This window comes from Homo sapiens, chromosome 1 (genome assembly GCF_000001405.40).
Source record: "Homo sapiens chromosome 1, GRCh38.p14 Primary Assembly".
In the NCBI taxonomy this organism is placed as follows: Eukaryota; Metazoa; Chordata; class Mammalia; order Primates; family Hominidae; genus Homo; species Homo sapiens.
This window is the reverse complement of record NC_000001.11, coordinates 33,247,911-33,262,114: the sequence shown is the minus strand read 5'-3', so window position 1 is coordinate 33,262,114 and position 14,204 is coordinate 33,247,911. Positions and strand designations below refer to the sequence as shown.

Genomic DNA, 14,204 nt, shown 5'->3' with positions numbered 1-14,204 from the left:
CCCAAATTCCACCCAGCCTCCAAAGCCCAGTTCCAGCCCCAGGTTCTAGAAAGCCATCCCCATCACCATAGCCCCAACCAACTCCCAATGCAGCTGGCTTCCTCAATCTCCCCCCAAGTGCCAGGCACACCCTGTGCATCCAAAAATGTTGCCCCCATTGTACAGGGGTAGCTTCTGCACTAGAGAAGAAGTAACTGTCCCATTGAGCACTTTCCCCTGCCTTTGATCCCCAAGGCAGATACTGCAGCAGCAGCCTGTTGGCCTCTGGGTAGCAGACAGAGATGCACGTGGCCTTGGATAAGGCCTGCTCCTCTCCCTTCCCACTTCAGTTTCCCCAACGGGTAGAATGAAGTTTGGCTAGATGACATCCACCTCGCTCCGAATAGTGCATGATTTTAGATCTCACATGATTCTCCAAGAATTGCATACATAAATGTCATCAGATACAGACTTTATTGGAGAGATAACGGTGTCTCCTTTTCCTGAGTACACCAAGCCTGACCAATTACCCTGGATGAGTGCCGAGCACCAGGCTAAAGAGATAGGAACTCAGAAATCCTGAGGGTTCATGCGGTCTTTGTGCACCAATTTATTCATTCTTACATTCAACAATGCACCGAGGCTGTCTGCCTCAAGGCTGTCTGCCTTTCTTCCCACAACCCAGTGGGAAGAAAGAGGCCACTGAAACCAGGAATCCACAAGGTCAAAGGCACTGGGAAACCATGACACTAACACCACTTCCCAGGCGTTATTCACAAGGGAGGTGCAGCACTTTACACATTGTCAAGAAAATCTTACTAGCAATGAGAACTTTCTGACAGCAGGAAGCTAGGTGGCCTGGTTAGGAGGGAGTTCACTGGAGGGGGGTTTTTTGGCAGAGATCAGAGGCCCTTTTGACAAAGGTGTGGGAAAAGGATTCCTGCTCTGTGCAAGGGTCAAGTGAGGTTGGGCTTCCCCTCAACAGTTGAGGGATTCTAAGGAGTCCCAGAGTGCTAGGTTCAAATCCCAGCAACTGCTCCATGATACCTAAATACCTCTGTGCCTCAGCTTCCTCACCTGTAAATATGTTAATATTTATAAAGGCTTTTAGAACATGGCATGGCACAAAGCGAGCCCTCTGTGATGCTAAATAAGGCAGTGAGAGTCCACTTTGTAAGATTCTAAACCTAAGACTGGATCATCCTATCATGGTAAGATTCCAAGTGTCAAAGGTTCTGAGCTGGAAAGCTTCTCAGATGCTAAAGCTCTGAGACTGGAAGAGACTGGGATTCTTAGATTCCATGATTTAATCATCTCATTATTTCCTGACAACAGCCCTGAGTCTCCCGGGGTGGGAGGAAGGAGAAGACAGCCCTCAGTGTAACTTTATCTCCCAGGCAATGCGCTGCCACACCTGGACTCCCTAGCATTTCCTCACCTCTACAAAAGCCCCAGCCACACCACACCAGAACCACCTGCTCACTCACACGCATGGCGCTTCAGCATGTTCTAATGGTGTAGACAGGCAAGAAATGCGAATAATGAGAGGGTTTCAGATACTGGTGACAGCCACAAGAGAAAAGAAAAAGCAGCTGATGTGAGAGAGTGAGAGTAGGAAGCTATTTTAGAGCAAGTGGTCCAAGCAGACCCTCTGAGGAGGTAACATTCAAGTAGAAACCTGTGAAACAAGAAGGTGCCAGCCATGTAAACACTCAGGGAAAAGCTGTCCTGGTGGGGGAATGTGCAAAGGCCCTGCCACCAGGCTTTGTAAATTCAAGGTGTAGAATGAAACTGGTGTGTGGCTGGAGGTGGCAATGGGATGCGGGGAGCCAAGGTTGAGAGGTGGGCAGAGCCTGGACTATTAAGGGCCTTGTAGGCCCAGAAAGTACTTCAGATATTTTTTCTTATAAATGCCTAGGAAACATTAGAAAAGTTTCAGCAGGGGAATGACAAAGCAGACCAGGGCTTTCAGGGTGCCCAGATCATTTGCCTCATTCTGAAACCAGCATCACGGTTCTCAAATTCATGGCAGGGCCTAGGACAGTCATCAGCAATCCTTATAACTCAGTGGGTACGTACTGAGCTCCCACCACATGCCTGGCCAGGGCAGGGAGACGTGTCATACACTGTCTTGATATCACTCCCAACAACCCATGAGAGATTCACAGAAAGTACCCCATTTTAGAGTTGAGGAAACTGAGGCTCAGAAAGGGAAAGAATGTGCTGAAAGTCACAGAAGCCATGTGACACAATGGGACCTAATCTCAGGACCCAGGTCTACCACTGTGATGGTTTATGGAACTCCTTTGGTGTCTTCAAGCTTTCCATTCTCTGAGAGACCTCCCCTGGGGACTCATGGAGGCACTCAGCAAACACTGCCCTGGCTAGTGCTTCATGCACCTGCAGTCTCACCTCTTCTTCCTTGTTGGCTTTAGAGCCCTGGAGGACTACACTTGTATCTCACATGTCTGTCCAGTGTGGGCTGGGTGAGCTAAGGATTGCATAGAAGGACAGATGGGTAGATTACTGAGATGACTAACCAATAAACTAATTAATGGATAATGAAAGAATAAAGGAATGATCTGGCAACAAATGAATGAATAAAATAGCCCGTGGCAGAAGAAGGAATGAATGGCTCCTCATTTTACAGAGAGATAAGACAGGAAAGTGTCTGCCCAGGGAAGGGCTAGGGCCAGCCTGGCTTCAGACCCGGTCCCCACCTTACCCACACACCTGCTTCCTCCTTTCCATGTGGGACCAACTTGCCTCCACCCCCCAAGACTGCAGATAGCCTATTCCTCAGTCCCTGGGATAAGTTCATGTCTCCATGGAGCGCTGGCCGTTATTCCATGACACCATCACCAGCACCACCATCCACTAGCAATTCCTGCCATCCTGGGGCCCGTGCAGCCTGGCAATGGGTAGAGGGGCTCATTGTCCCTCTGAGTGTCACAGAGGAAGGGAGGCAGGAGATCAGGGTCTGGTTCTGAGACCCAAATCACTGACTTCCAGCCAGTAGCTTCCCCTCTCTGAGCCCAGGTGACCTCCTGACATCTGAGCCTTTTCAGTCTGACATTCTTTGGGTGGGGTGGGCCTCTGGATGTTTACACAGTCACTGGGTTCAGCAGAAGAATTAGAGAGTCCAAAACCTAGAAGAGTCCTTCCCACAGCACCAAAGTCCACCTGGGAAAAGGCCAGGCGAGGAGCCTGCAGGCCTGAATTTAAGCCTCCTCTGCCACTGTTCAACCTCTCTGAGTCTTGGTTTCCTTATAATGAGGTTCATAATCCCCATTAGGACAATTTAACCCTAACTGAGTTTCTGGGAGAACCTGATGTGATAATCACCACACCATACTGTGAAAACTGTGAAGTTCAATTCTCTCAGGAAAGATTATGATGGCGGGGGTAGGAGGGGGTGAAGGGATCGTGCTGTCCCATTCTAGTCCAGTTCTGTTCAAAACGGATCTTCCAGGGGTCCAGGCCCGTCATGGAGAACAGTGGAGGGAGCCCAGCAGTGGAAGCCTGAACACCCAGGTCCCGGTCTCAGTCTCCTTCTACCTGGTAGCGTGACTTCAGGCAAGTCACTTCCTCTCTCTGGACCTCAGTTCCTCCATCTAAAAACCACCTGGCTTGGTACCCTCTGGCCAAGACATGCCATGTTCCACAGCCCTGAACCCCTAACCCCAGCTTTCAACCCCCGACTCTGGCTTCTGGGAGCTCACTCTGTCTAGTGGAGCCAGGACACAAACCAGGAGTGAGACTAGAAGGGTCTCCCCTCCAAGAAATGCTGGGGTAGGGGACACATGAGAGGCTAGGCCCAACACTGCCCCAGTGCCTTGGACAGCACCAGTCACCCCAGACCTTGTGGGCCTGGCCTTCAGATCCCCCTCGGCAGCCTGCGGAGCCAGCAGGCCCTGACCTGTCCAGCAAGATACTTCAGGAACTTAACCGAAGTCCAAAGTGCTTCTACCTCCCGGGCGTAGGGCAGGAGTGGCAGAAAGGAATAAGAGCATACTACAGGGGTGAGGCTCACACCGAGGAGGTCTAGCAAACCAGACTACCTTTCCTGCCCCTTCCCTCAGACGGGACCCACTGGGCCGCAGGCCTGCACCCAACCAAAAGTTCATCATAGGGTGGGGTCGGGGAAGACATTACCACCAGCTGCCACCTCTGGGGGCAGGAGGACCACCAGGTTGGGGAGGGGGCTCTCCAACTGCAAAGGGCCAAGCTCACTTGCCTCAGGGTCCAAGGGTCACCCCAGGGCTTGGGCGAGATTCCAGCCTACACGGGGGGTCCTGGCCACCCATGAAGGAGACAGGCCCACTGCCACACACACAGCTCCCGAAGGTTCCACACTGCTCGAGGGCAGGGTGGTGGGACAGCAGGATTATTTCCTCATGCCAGGGGTCTTTGCTGGAAATCCTGGACCCATTCTGAGCCCCTCTTGCCGGCCCTCTCCCCCAGATCTGAGGATCTAGCTCCTTACAATGCCATGTTTATAGAGCCCCTTCCAAATAAATGTTTCCCAGTTCCCCCAAAACTCCCATCCTCAACCCTCCACATCCGCCCCCCCACCCCCATCCCGCGCAGCTCTGAGGAAACCGGCAGTTAACTTTTCCCAAAAATCCTGCAAAGGCAGCTGGCTGGGGGAGAAATGGGCCTCGAGATCCTTTCGCGGCATTTCACCGCCTTCCAAAAAAAAAAAAAAAGAAAGAAAGAAAGAAAGAGAAGCAAAGCAAAGCAAACTTTCGGAGTTAACTTTAAATTCCCAGCCCTCCCCCCTCAAATCGCCCGGCAGCTTCCCTTTTTTTTTTTCTTTAAAGTGCAATTGCATTGTGTCTCACCTCCCCGAAAGGCTCGCGGCTCTCGCCAAAGAAAAGGAAAAAAGCCAACCCTTCGGGTGCCCCCTCTGCTTCCAGCCGCCTCTCCCACATTCTCAGACAGTTTTATTAAAATTTTCAGACAAAAGAAAAACAAAAATGGCAGCCTGGCTTATTTTTAAAACAGGACAGGGACGCCATATTCTGCAGATCTGCAAAAAAAGGGAGAAATCCGGCACTGGCTGCTCCACCGGGCCGGCTGCAAAGTGCGCGAACCGCGCCGTTTGCAATCCGTTTATTTGCATTATGCCCCATGAATCATTGTTTACCGGAGAATTGCAGCAGGGTTTGAATAGCCCGGCTTAAGAAAACACACACACACGCGCGCGCACACACACACACGCACACACACTCGGAGACCAGCCCCAGACACGCCGCGGGAGACACTTCCTACCCCGCGCGCCCCGCTGCCGCCGCCGCCGCCGCCGCTCTGGGCCGGGCCCGAGGCGCAGGCGGCCCCGGGCCCTCGGAGCGCCCCGGCCCGCGCTGACAGCGCCCGCGCCCCGGCCCGGCCCCCGCCCGCAACTCGGCGCAACTTTCCCGCGGGCAGGCGCCCGCCGCCGCTGGGCCCGCTCCCCGCGCGCCCCGGGCCCGCACGGACCTGGCTGTGCTGGCGGCGCCTCCGGGACGCGGCCGCAGCCCCGCGCCCGGCGGCCCGAGCAGGGCCGGGCTGGGGCTCCGGCACAGGCTCCGGGCTCGGGCTCCGGCTCTGGCTCGCTGCGGAGCCGCGCGCAAACCTTCCGGGTCGCCTGCTGTTCACTTCTGGGTTCTGCAAGCGCCGAGGCGGCGGCGGCGGCGGCGGCGGGAGGCTGGGTCTGCAGCGCCGCGCGGCCCCCAGTGCGCTCGGCGAGCCCCCGCGCCAGGCGCCCGGCTCCGGGGGGGCCGCGTCGGGCCCCCGCCTCTCCGGCTGCGCAGCCCGTCCGGCCCCGGGGGCTCCCGCGAGTGGGCAGCGCCGGGCGCTGGCGACTGCGCGAGAGGGGAGGGGGCCGGGCGGGGGGCGGGGGCGGGCCGCGCGCTGGGGCCCCCACTCGGGCCCCGGGGCCTCGTCTCGCGCTCGCCGTCGCCGCCGCCGCCGCCGCCGCCACCGCCTGGCAAAGTTGCGCTGCGCCCCCCGCCCGCGCCGCGCCGGAGGCAGAGCCACAAAGGAACTCCTCGCCCCCCTCCGCCCGCCTGAGCCGCGCGGGGAGGGCACCGGCGCCCGGCCCTAGGACAGCCCCTTCCCCAGCGCGGGGGCTCCCGGGGCCCCGGCGGCCGTGGCCATTGTCCTGCCCAGGCCCGGCGGCCGCCTCGCCACCCCACTCCTGGGTGATGGCAGGCTGGGGACTTGGGCCTGGCGGGCCACGGCCCTGACCAGGCCGAGCCCGCGCGGTGCCAGGCTGCCCCTGGGGGTCTCCCTCGAAGACGGCCGCCTGGAGGGGACCCCCAGGATGGACCCTCACCCCTGATAACGACCTGCTCAAAATCCAGGCCGATTTTTTTTTTAAGACGAGGACATAGGGGTGGGGAGTAGAAGTTTGCACAGGCCCAGCCACCCCTCCCTAGCCCTAGGCCGGATCCCCGACGGATGGGGCGGCCCGAAGCTGGCAGTGGCTCCTCTCGCAGAGTCTATCAGAGGTGGCACCGGCTGTCCCCCGGCTCCAGACCTCAGAGCCATCTGTGTGACTCCTCCTCCCGCCTCACCCTCCCCAGCCAATCAGTCACCAAGTCCTCCTGATTCGGCCTCCCGAGCTGTGTCAGCTTCCAAACTTACACTTCTACCTGAGGAGGCAGCCGGTTCCAGGATCCCTTCACCGGCTTAGATTTCTATGGCATCCACCACCCCCCGACCGCTGGGCCAGGATGGATCAGGGCTGGCCCTGCCCTCAGGGAGCGCACAGTCCCCCGGGAAGGGCACAGAGATAAACAATCATCTGCCAGCGTTTGTCCTCCAGGAAGCATTTCCAAATTCAGTAAATATTCATAGAGGACCTAGTAAACATCAACCACTGTTTTTAATAGCTGGTTGGCTGGAGCACAGCTATTAAAAAACTGGATAATGCCCCTGCCCTCACGAAGATTCTAGTCCAGCACAGGATGGCAAACACTGTGAGCAACTCGAAGACAGGGCCCATAGGGACTGCTTGTTCTCAATCCCCAAGCACAGTGCCTGGCACAGAGCAGGGGCACAAGAAATCTGTGTGGCATGAATTAGTTGGAATGTTAAAGCATGGCGGGAGAGCACAGAGGAGGCCACTCTTTCCTGGAGAGGTGGAGAGGGCTTCAGAAATTGGCTCTGGGGTGAGCGAGGTGGGGAAGAAAGGAAGGCCTTCCAGTTTCCAGAAATGACGATAATCAGAGGACCAACCCATTGTTGAGAAATTCAATGAGATAATAAATTAATAAACGGGAGAGAAGAGACAAATTGTCTGTGCAGAAGAATTCCAAATAATTTATGTAGACAATCAGGGAGGGGGAGCATCACTCCCTACTCTTTAGGAGTAGGCTGCAGATAGTGACGTCCTCCCCAAGCGCACAATATGGAAAGGGAGAGGAAAGGAGTAACTTTACAGGGAGAGAGCTGATGACTGCTACTCAGACAAGTGATCAAGGCCAAGATCAACAGCCACAAATCATGTTGATATGTGCTTGATACTATGTGATGAAAATGACACTTTACCTTTGTGGTCTTCCTCCCAATAACCCATAACCCCAGCCTTGTGAGAAAAACAGACAGACTCCAAGAGTGGGCTATCCAACAAAATTGCTGGCTGACCAGTACCCCTCAAAACTATCAAGGTCATCCAAATCAAGGAAAGTCCGAGAAACCATCACAGCCAGAGAGGAGCCTAAAGACACGGCCGGGTGCAGTGGCTTATGCCTGTAATTCCAGCACTTTGGGAGGCCGAGGCGGGAGGATCACCAGGTCAGACTTTAAGACCAGCCTGACCAACGTGGTGAAACCCCATCTCTACTAAAAATACAAAAATTAGCCAGGCGTGGCACGTGCCTGTAGTCTCAGCTACTCAGGAGTCTGAGGCAGAAGAATGGCTTGAACTCCAGAGGTGGAAGTTGCAGTGAGCCGAGATTGGGCCACTGCACTCCAGCCTGGGCAACAAGAGTGAAACTCTGTCTCAAAAAAAAAAAACAGACGAACTACTAAATGTAAAAGATATTAGGTAAAAACAATCTAAATAAACTATGGAATTTAGTTATTAATAACAATAATGTGTCAAGGAAAGTATCTACCAAGAATTATAACAAATCGTAACAAATAGTAACATAAGGTATTACTCATAGGAAAATTAGAGGAGGTATATATGGGAACTGTCTGTAATATCATCTCAATTTTTCTATAAATCTAAAAATGTTCTAAAACATAAAGTCTATAAATTTTAAAATTAATACCTTTAATTAATTAAGGCATTAATTAATTTTAAAAGGTATTAATCACGGCATTGCTGAGCAGTTCAATGAAATAATGCCCATCACAGCACCTAACACATTCTAAGCGCTCAAAAAAGTTATGTTATCATCAATATCATCATTATCATCATCATTCTAGGCACTTAGAACAGCACATGCAAAGGCACAGAAGTTTAGAATGGAGAGGCAGATGGGAGACAGGATCCTGAAGGCCTTGAGTGCTGAGCTGGGGCCTTTGGAAGGGATTTATGGGGGAAGGGTACATGCTGGCCCACCTTTGCCCCACGAGTCTCCTCCCTAGCCACCTGGAAAGCTGTGCTCCAGCCAGCCAAAGTGAGCTGCCATCTAAGGCCTTGCTATCTCACTTCTGAGGACTTTGCATATGCTGTTCCCTCTGCCTGGAACACCCTCCCTTGCCCTTTCGCCTCACCTTTTCTGACCACCTTCAATTTATCCTTCAGGTCTTAGCTTAGACATTTTCTTAAAAGCCTTCCAGAACCTTCCAAGATGCTATTAATATGATTTGGTTGGAGGCAGTTGGGGTGAGGTGCAGGAAGCTAGGGATGGAGAGACTGAGCTCAGCTCTTTGCCACTGGCACCCATCCCCCTTTCCCCCCAAATCCAGCCATACTAGATGCTGCCCTGTCTCTGAACACACCATCCACCTTCATGATGCCTGGCCTCTGCTCATGCTGTTCCCTCTGTCTGGTATTCTTAGTCCTTTTCTCCTCATCTCATCTCTGTAGTGAATACTTACTTATCAAGTCAGCTCAAACATCACCTCCTGTATGAAGCCATTCTAGATCCTTCACATAGAAAGGGCACTTTCCTTTGGTTCCCAAGGTGTCCATGGTCCTTCTGCCACACTGCTGGCAACACACTCATCACGATGCATCGGAATAAATGTTTGCTGAATGGATGGACAGCAAGCCCACTGTCATCCTCTCCAATTCTGCAAAGCTTTCCTCTAGGAGGCCCTCCATGGCAGCTCCAGCCCATTAACCCCTCTCCCTTTCTTTTTTTAGCAGTTAGCCCCTAATTGTATTCTAACTATTGTGTGTATAAGAATCAATCTCTTGGATTAGAGTACATTATTTAAGGAAGGAACCATGTCTCACACTTTCTGTTTTTTCACTCATTCAAGTATTTACAAAGCACCTACTCCAGTGTTTCAGTTAGGGTCCCAGGCTCTGGAGAGGCAGCAGTGAGGAAGACCCCAGCTCTGCACAAATAGAGCACTGTCTTAACCAGACTATGCCGCAGTAACAAAGAACTCCAAAATCTCAGTGACATAGCACAAGAGTCATTTATTGCCCACTTGTGCCACATGCCCATCATGGTTTCTCTACTTTAGTCACTCAGAGACCTAGACTGAGGAGTCCCTTCCATTTTGGAGCTGCACCCACTGGAACTTGTGACCTTCTCAGTTACCATGGCAGAAGAAAAGAGAATAGATGGTTTTTCTGGTTGTTGTTGTTGTTGTTGTTGTTGTTGTTGTTTTGAGATGGAGTTTCACTCTTGTTGCCCAGGCTGGAGTGCAATGATGCAATCTCGGCTCACCGCAACCTCTGCCTCCTGGGTTCAAGTGATTCTCCTGCCTCAGCCTCCCGAGTAGCTGGGAATTACAGGCACATGCCACCACACCTGGCTAATTTTGTATATTTAGTAAAGACGTATTTCTCCATGTTGGTCAGGCTGGTCTCAAACTCCCGACCTCAGGTGATCTGCCCGCCTCAGCCTCCCAAAGTGCTGGGATTACAGGCGTGAGCCACCACGCCCAGCCGAGAATGGATGATTTTTTTCAGGCATGGATTTTTCACTGCTTCTGCCTGGAGGTGACACACCCACCCCTTCTCACCATCCATTGGCCAAGACTAGTCACATGGTCCTGCCTACTGCAAGGGAGGCTGGGAAATACAGTGCTCCTCTGGAAAGAGAATAGACTGGACATGGGTGAGCTCTTCCACTGTCTGTCCCAGGAGAAAGAATTTAGCAAATAATTACTGAAGTAATGCTTTAATTAGGTCTCATACGAGGCTGGAAGTGTCTGAGAGAAGATCAGGGAGGGATTCCCAGAGTAAGGGACAATTAAGCTGACACCAGGGAAGAGTGTTTCCAACAGAGAGAACAGTACGTGAAGGTTCTGGGGCAGGGAGGAGTTTGACACATTGAAGGGCCAGAAAAGAGAGGGGAGCTGTGAAGTGACACTCAGGGCTAGATGTCGTAGGCAGGCCCAGATAGGTAAGGGTTTAGGATTTTATCTTAAGGGTAAAGGAAGTCCCAGGAAGGTGTTAAGCAGAGATGTGATATGGCAGAGTTTTCTCCAAAAGGTCCATGTGGTTGCTGAGGAGAGAATGGGCTGGAATGGGCAGAGTAGGGAAGCGGTGGGGGTGCTGGGGGCAGTGAGGAGACTTTCAGAGTCCTACAGGTGAAAGGTGGCAATGGTTTGGACCTTGGCATTGGCAGAGGTGGAGAGAAGTGGACAAACATGGGATTTATTAAGGAATCAGCCCTACCAGGACTTGGTGACTGATAGATGTGGGGAGTAAGAAAGCAGGAGGTGTCCAGGTGACTCACAGGTTTTGCAGCCCTCATAGTGCCCAGCACAAGGCTGGCTCCACTACATTGTATCCCCAGCATGTTCACCATGGGACCTTGACCCTGGACTCATCTGGGACATCTAGCCCTCAGTGTCATTTTGCAATCCCACCTCATTCCACTCCAGATTCCCTGTTCTTTCTGTCCCTTCAGTGTGGCAAGCTCCTCCTTGCCTCATGGCCTTCACACTCCATTCTCTCTTTTGGAAATACTTCTTTCAGCTCCTCTCTCATGTCGGCTTAAATGTCCCTCTCTGTCATCAAGCTAGCTAACCACCTCCTCATTCTGTAGGAGGAGGGGTGTACCTCCGATCAGAACTAAAAACGCTCTCAAGCATCAACCATGCACCTTCTTCTTCTCCTTCTTCTTCTTCTTCTTCTTCTTCTTCTTCTTCTTCTTCTTCCTTCTTTCTTCTTTCTTCTTCTTTTCTTCTTCTCTTCTTCTTCTTCTCCTTCTCCTCCTCCTTCTCCTTCTTTCTTCTTCCTTCTTCTTTCTTCTTTTTTTTTCTTCAACTTTTCAGTTCCAGGGTACATGTGCAGGATGTGCAGATTTGTTACATAGGTAAATGTGTGCCATGGTGGTTTGCTGCACAGATCAACCCATCACCTAGGCATTAAGCCCAGCATCCATTAGCTCTTCTTCCTGATGCTCTCCCTCCCCCTGCTCCCCAAATAGGCCCCAGTATGTGTTGCTCCCTCACTACGTGTCCACGTATTCTCATTGTTCAGCTCCCACTTACAAGTGAGAACATTCAGTGTTTGGTTTTCTGTTCCTGCATTAGTTTGCTGAGGATAACGGCTTCCAGCTCCATCTATGTCCATACAAAGGACATGGTCTCGCTCCTTTTTATGGCTGCATAGTATTCCATGGTGTATATGTAGCACATTTTCATTATCCCGTCTATCATTAATGGGCATTTTGGTTGATTCCATGTCTTTGCTACTGAACACATGCACTTTCTACTTGGACCCCCTACAGTAGTCTTGAGAGGGAGGCTGGTAGGAACATTATCCCCATTTCACAGTGGAAAAAACTGAGGCCAGAGAAGGGAAGTGGTTGGCTACATCTTGGGGCCAGGCCTCTAGCTAAGGTCCTCTAACTCCTGGTTCAGAGTTTCTTTTACTGCAGTGCCTGGTGCATAGTGGGTGCTGTATGGCATTTGCCAAGAGAATAAATGAATGAATGAATGAATGAGCACATGACTGTCTGCCCATTCACTTCTTTACCTTTGCTCATTTTGTTTCCCTCAAAGAGGCTGTAGATTGAGCTAATAGATTAGGTTTAAGAGTCCCAGAGAGCTGTTTGAACCCTAGCTTTGTCATTTAAAGATAGTGACTTTAGGCAAGTTTCTTCCTGTCTCTGCAAATTAAGGATGCAAATACCTACTTTATAGAGCAGGTATTAAAAGAGAACGTGTGGGTTAGGCCAGAGTAATGTTGGCTGCCTGTTCTTCAGGGACCTGTTCCCACCTTGCCTCCCTTGGAAAATCTTCCCTGAGAACACCAGCCTGCACTTACCCACACCCAATAAGAACCTCTCAAGCCCTTCTCATCTGTACCTCCCAGGTTATGACCCAGATGAAAAGTGTCATTTAAACCGCAAACTAGATGCTCTGTCTTCCAAGGGCAGTGGCATAATTCACGTCGGTGTGAAACTCAATCTCTCTGTACTCTCCTTTCCACTTTCTTGGGGGAGTGGGGCAGGAAGGGGAAAACTTCTATCACTTTCTCTGGGGAGACTCTGAGTATCATTTGGCCCTGTTAAGCAGAGATATGAATGGAGCTTTGGGTAAACCAAAACTGTCCATGAGCTGAGCAGGAGATGGAGATCTAACTTGCTCTACATGATAAGCTGATGGGGATAATGGCGTATAAGTCTCTACATGGCATGGTCGTTGCCAACCCTTTCATCCCCAACTAGAACTGTTTTCCCCCTTGGCCTCGGTGCTCCAGCCACACAAGCCCCCTGGAGTTCACAGAAGGCATGCTGATTCCTCTTGCTACAGGGACTTTGCACAGGCACTCCTCTCAGAATGTGCTCCCCAACCATCTCTGCCCTGTCACCTAGCAAGCTCCTCCTCACCCACCATGTGGCTCACAGCCACATCCTGAGGGTGACCTTCTACCATCTTCAGGATACTCTCATAGCTCCATGGACCTACCTTTCCTTTTTTACAGACTTATCTCAGCTGTAATTATTCATTCTGATTTCTAATTGTTTGCTTTGACATCAGATTGTAAGCTCAATACATATCTCTTCCTTCATACAATAAAAAATGACGGAGATTGAATTTTTGAAGGTGAGGGGGCTCAGCAAATGAACAGGTTGAAATATTTGAGCATTATCTTGAAGTGTGGGGGTGATCCATAAAATGGGAGAGCCTGAGAAGAGCAGTGGCCGGCACTGGTGGCTGAAGGACTCTGAAGAGCAGAGCTAGCCATTATTCAACTTGCTCCCCTTTGCATTGCTATGATACAACCCATCTCCTTCAATCTCAGTAAAATAACCTGCATACTGAACGTGAGGTTGGCACAGGGTTGCCTGGCTTGGCACTGGGCAGAGAGGAAAGATGAGCAGAGGAGGGATGAAAGGTGTGCCGGGAGGAGAAAACTGGGGCTGAAAGTAAGCACAATTTTGCAAGTCACTGGAATTTGAAGAAATCTTGGGGCCATCACTGGATTTCTTCAAGATGTGAGATAGGAAATTCCAGTCCATTTTTATCTAAATCTCAAAGGACTAGTAATCTGGGTTCTCAGCAGGAAGAATGCTGTGACTGATTAGCAATGTCTGTTATAGGCAGTGACAACTGGTTACATAGATCTGCAGTTGAGCTTAGTGTTCTCTTAGCCAGAGGGTGAAGACTATGTCTTAGTCATCTTTCACCATCAGTCACCATCAGCAGTGAGCTGGGGGTTATGGGATGGAGGGAGATAGCAGTGAAATGGGCAGGAGGGCAGAGCCTTGACCAGGCAGGGCAGGACATGGGGCACCAGGTCCTGACAATGTTAAATCCTACAGTGAGCTTGGGCAAGCCATGTTGCATCTCTGGGCTTCAATTTCTTCAACTTTGAAATGGGCCAGTAGTACCTGTGGCAAGTTATAAGGCAAGAGCATTAGTGCTTTGAGGTCAGATAGATATACAGGGTTCAAATCTTGGTTAGCACTAGCTTTAGGATCTAGAAAGATCTCAGTCTTCTCATTTATAAAACTTCACAGGTCAGTGTGCCAGGATTAGAAGCAGTACACACCAACAATTAGCAAGCATTTGCTATAAGCAAGGCACCTTGCTGGACTTCTGGGGACTTGACCTCACCCAGAGAAGGGAGAGTGCCCAGCACAGTGCCC

The 14,204-nt window shown here is 51.4% G+C and overlaps 1 protein-coding gene across 6 annotated transcripts in view, besides 3 other annotated features; it reads right to left on the bottom strand.

Annotated features, from left to right (window-relative positions):
• ZNF362 (zinc finger protein 362) overlaps nt 1-14,204 on the bottom strand; it is a 173,198-nt gene that overhangs the window by 38,605 nt on the left and 120,389 nt on the right. For 3 of the 6 annotated variants that reach the window (NM_152493.3, XM_047447110.1, XM_005270507.3), the window contains exon 1: nt 5,461-5,623. The exons of 2 other annotated variants lie outside the window; for them this stretch is intronic. The gene's annotated coding sequence lies outside the window, so the exon portion shown is untranslated. Of the gene's footprint in view, nt 1-4,823; nt 5,251-5,460; nt 5,624-14,204 lie in introns of those variants that run through there. One more of the 6 variants, XM_047447109.1, reaches the window with a different exon arrangement.
• Nucleotides 4,873-5,167: an enhancer, noted in NCBI's record as "tiled region #4113; HepG2 Activating DNase unmatched - State 1:Tss". NCBI's record gives its function as "activates a minimal TATA promoter and a strong SV40 promoter by Sharpr-MPRA in HepG2 cells {active_cell/tissue: HepG2}" and the evidence as "EXISTENCE:reporter gene assay evidence [ECO:0000049][PMID:27701403]".
• Nucleotides 5,633-5,692: a silencer, noted in NCBI's record as "silent region_622". NCBI's record gives its function as "represses an Ori minimal core promoter by ATAC-STARR-seq in GM12878 lymphoblastoid cells {active_cell/tissue: GM12878}" and the evidence as "EXISTENCE:reporter gene assay evidence [ECO:0000049][PMID:35858748]".
• Nucleotides 6,135-6,234: a silencer, noted in NCBI's record as "silent region_621". NCBI's record gives its function as "represses an Ori minimal core promoter by ATAC-STARR-seq in GM12878 lymphoblastoid cells {active_cell/tissue: GM12878}" and the evidence as "EXISTENCE:reporter gene assay evidence [ECO:0000049][PMID:35858748]".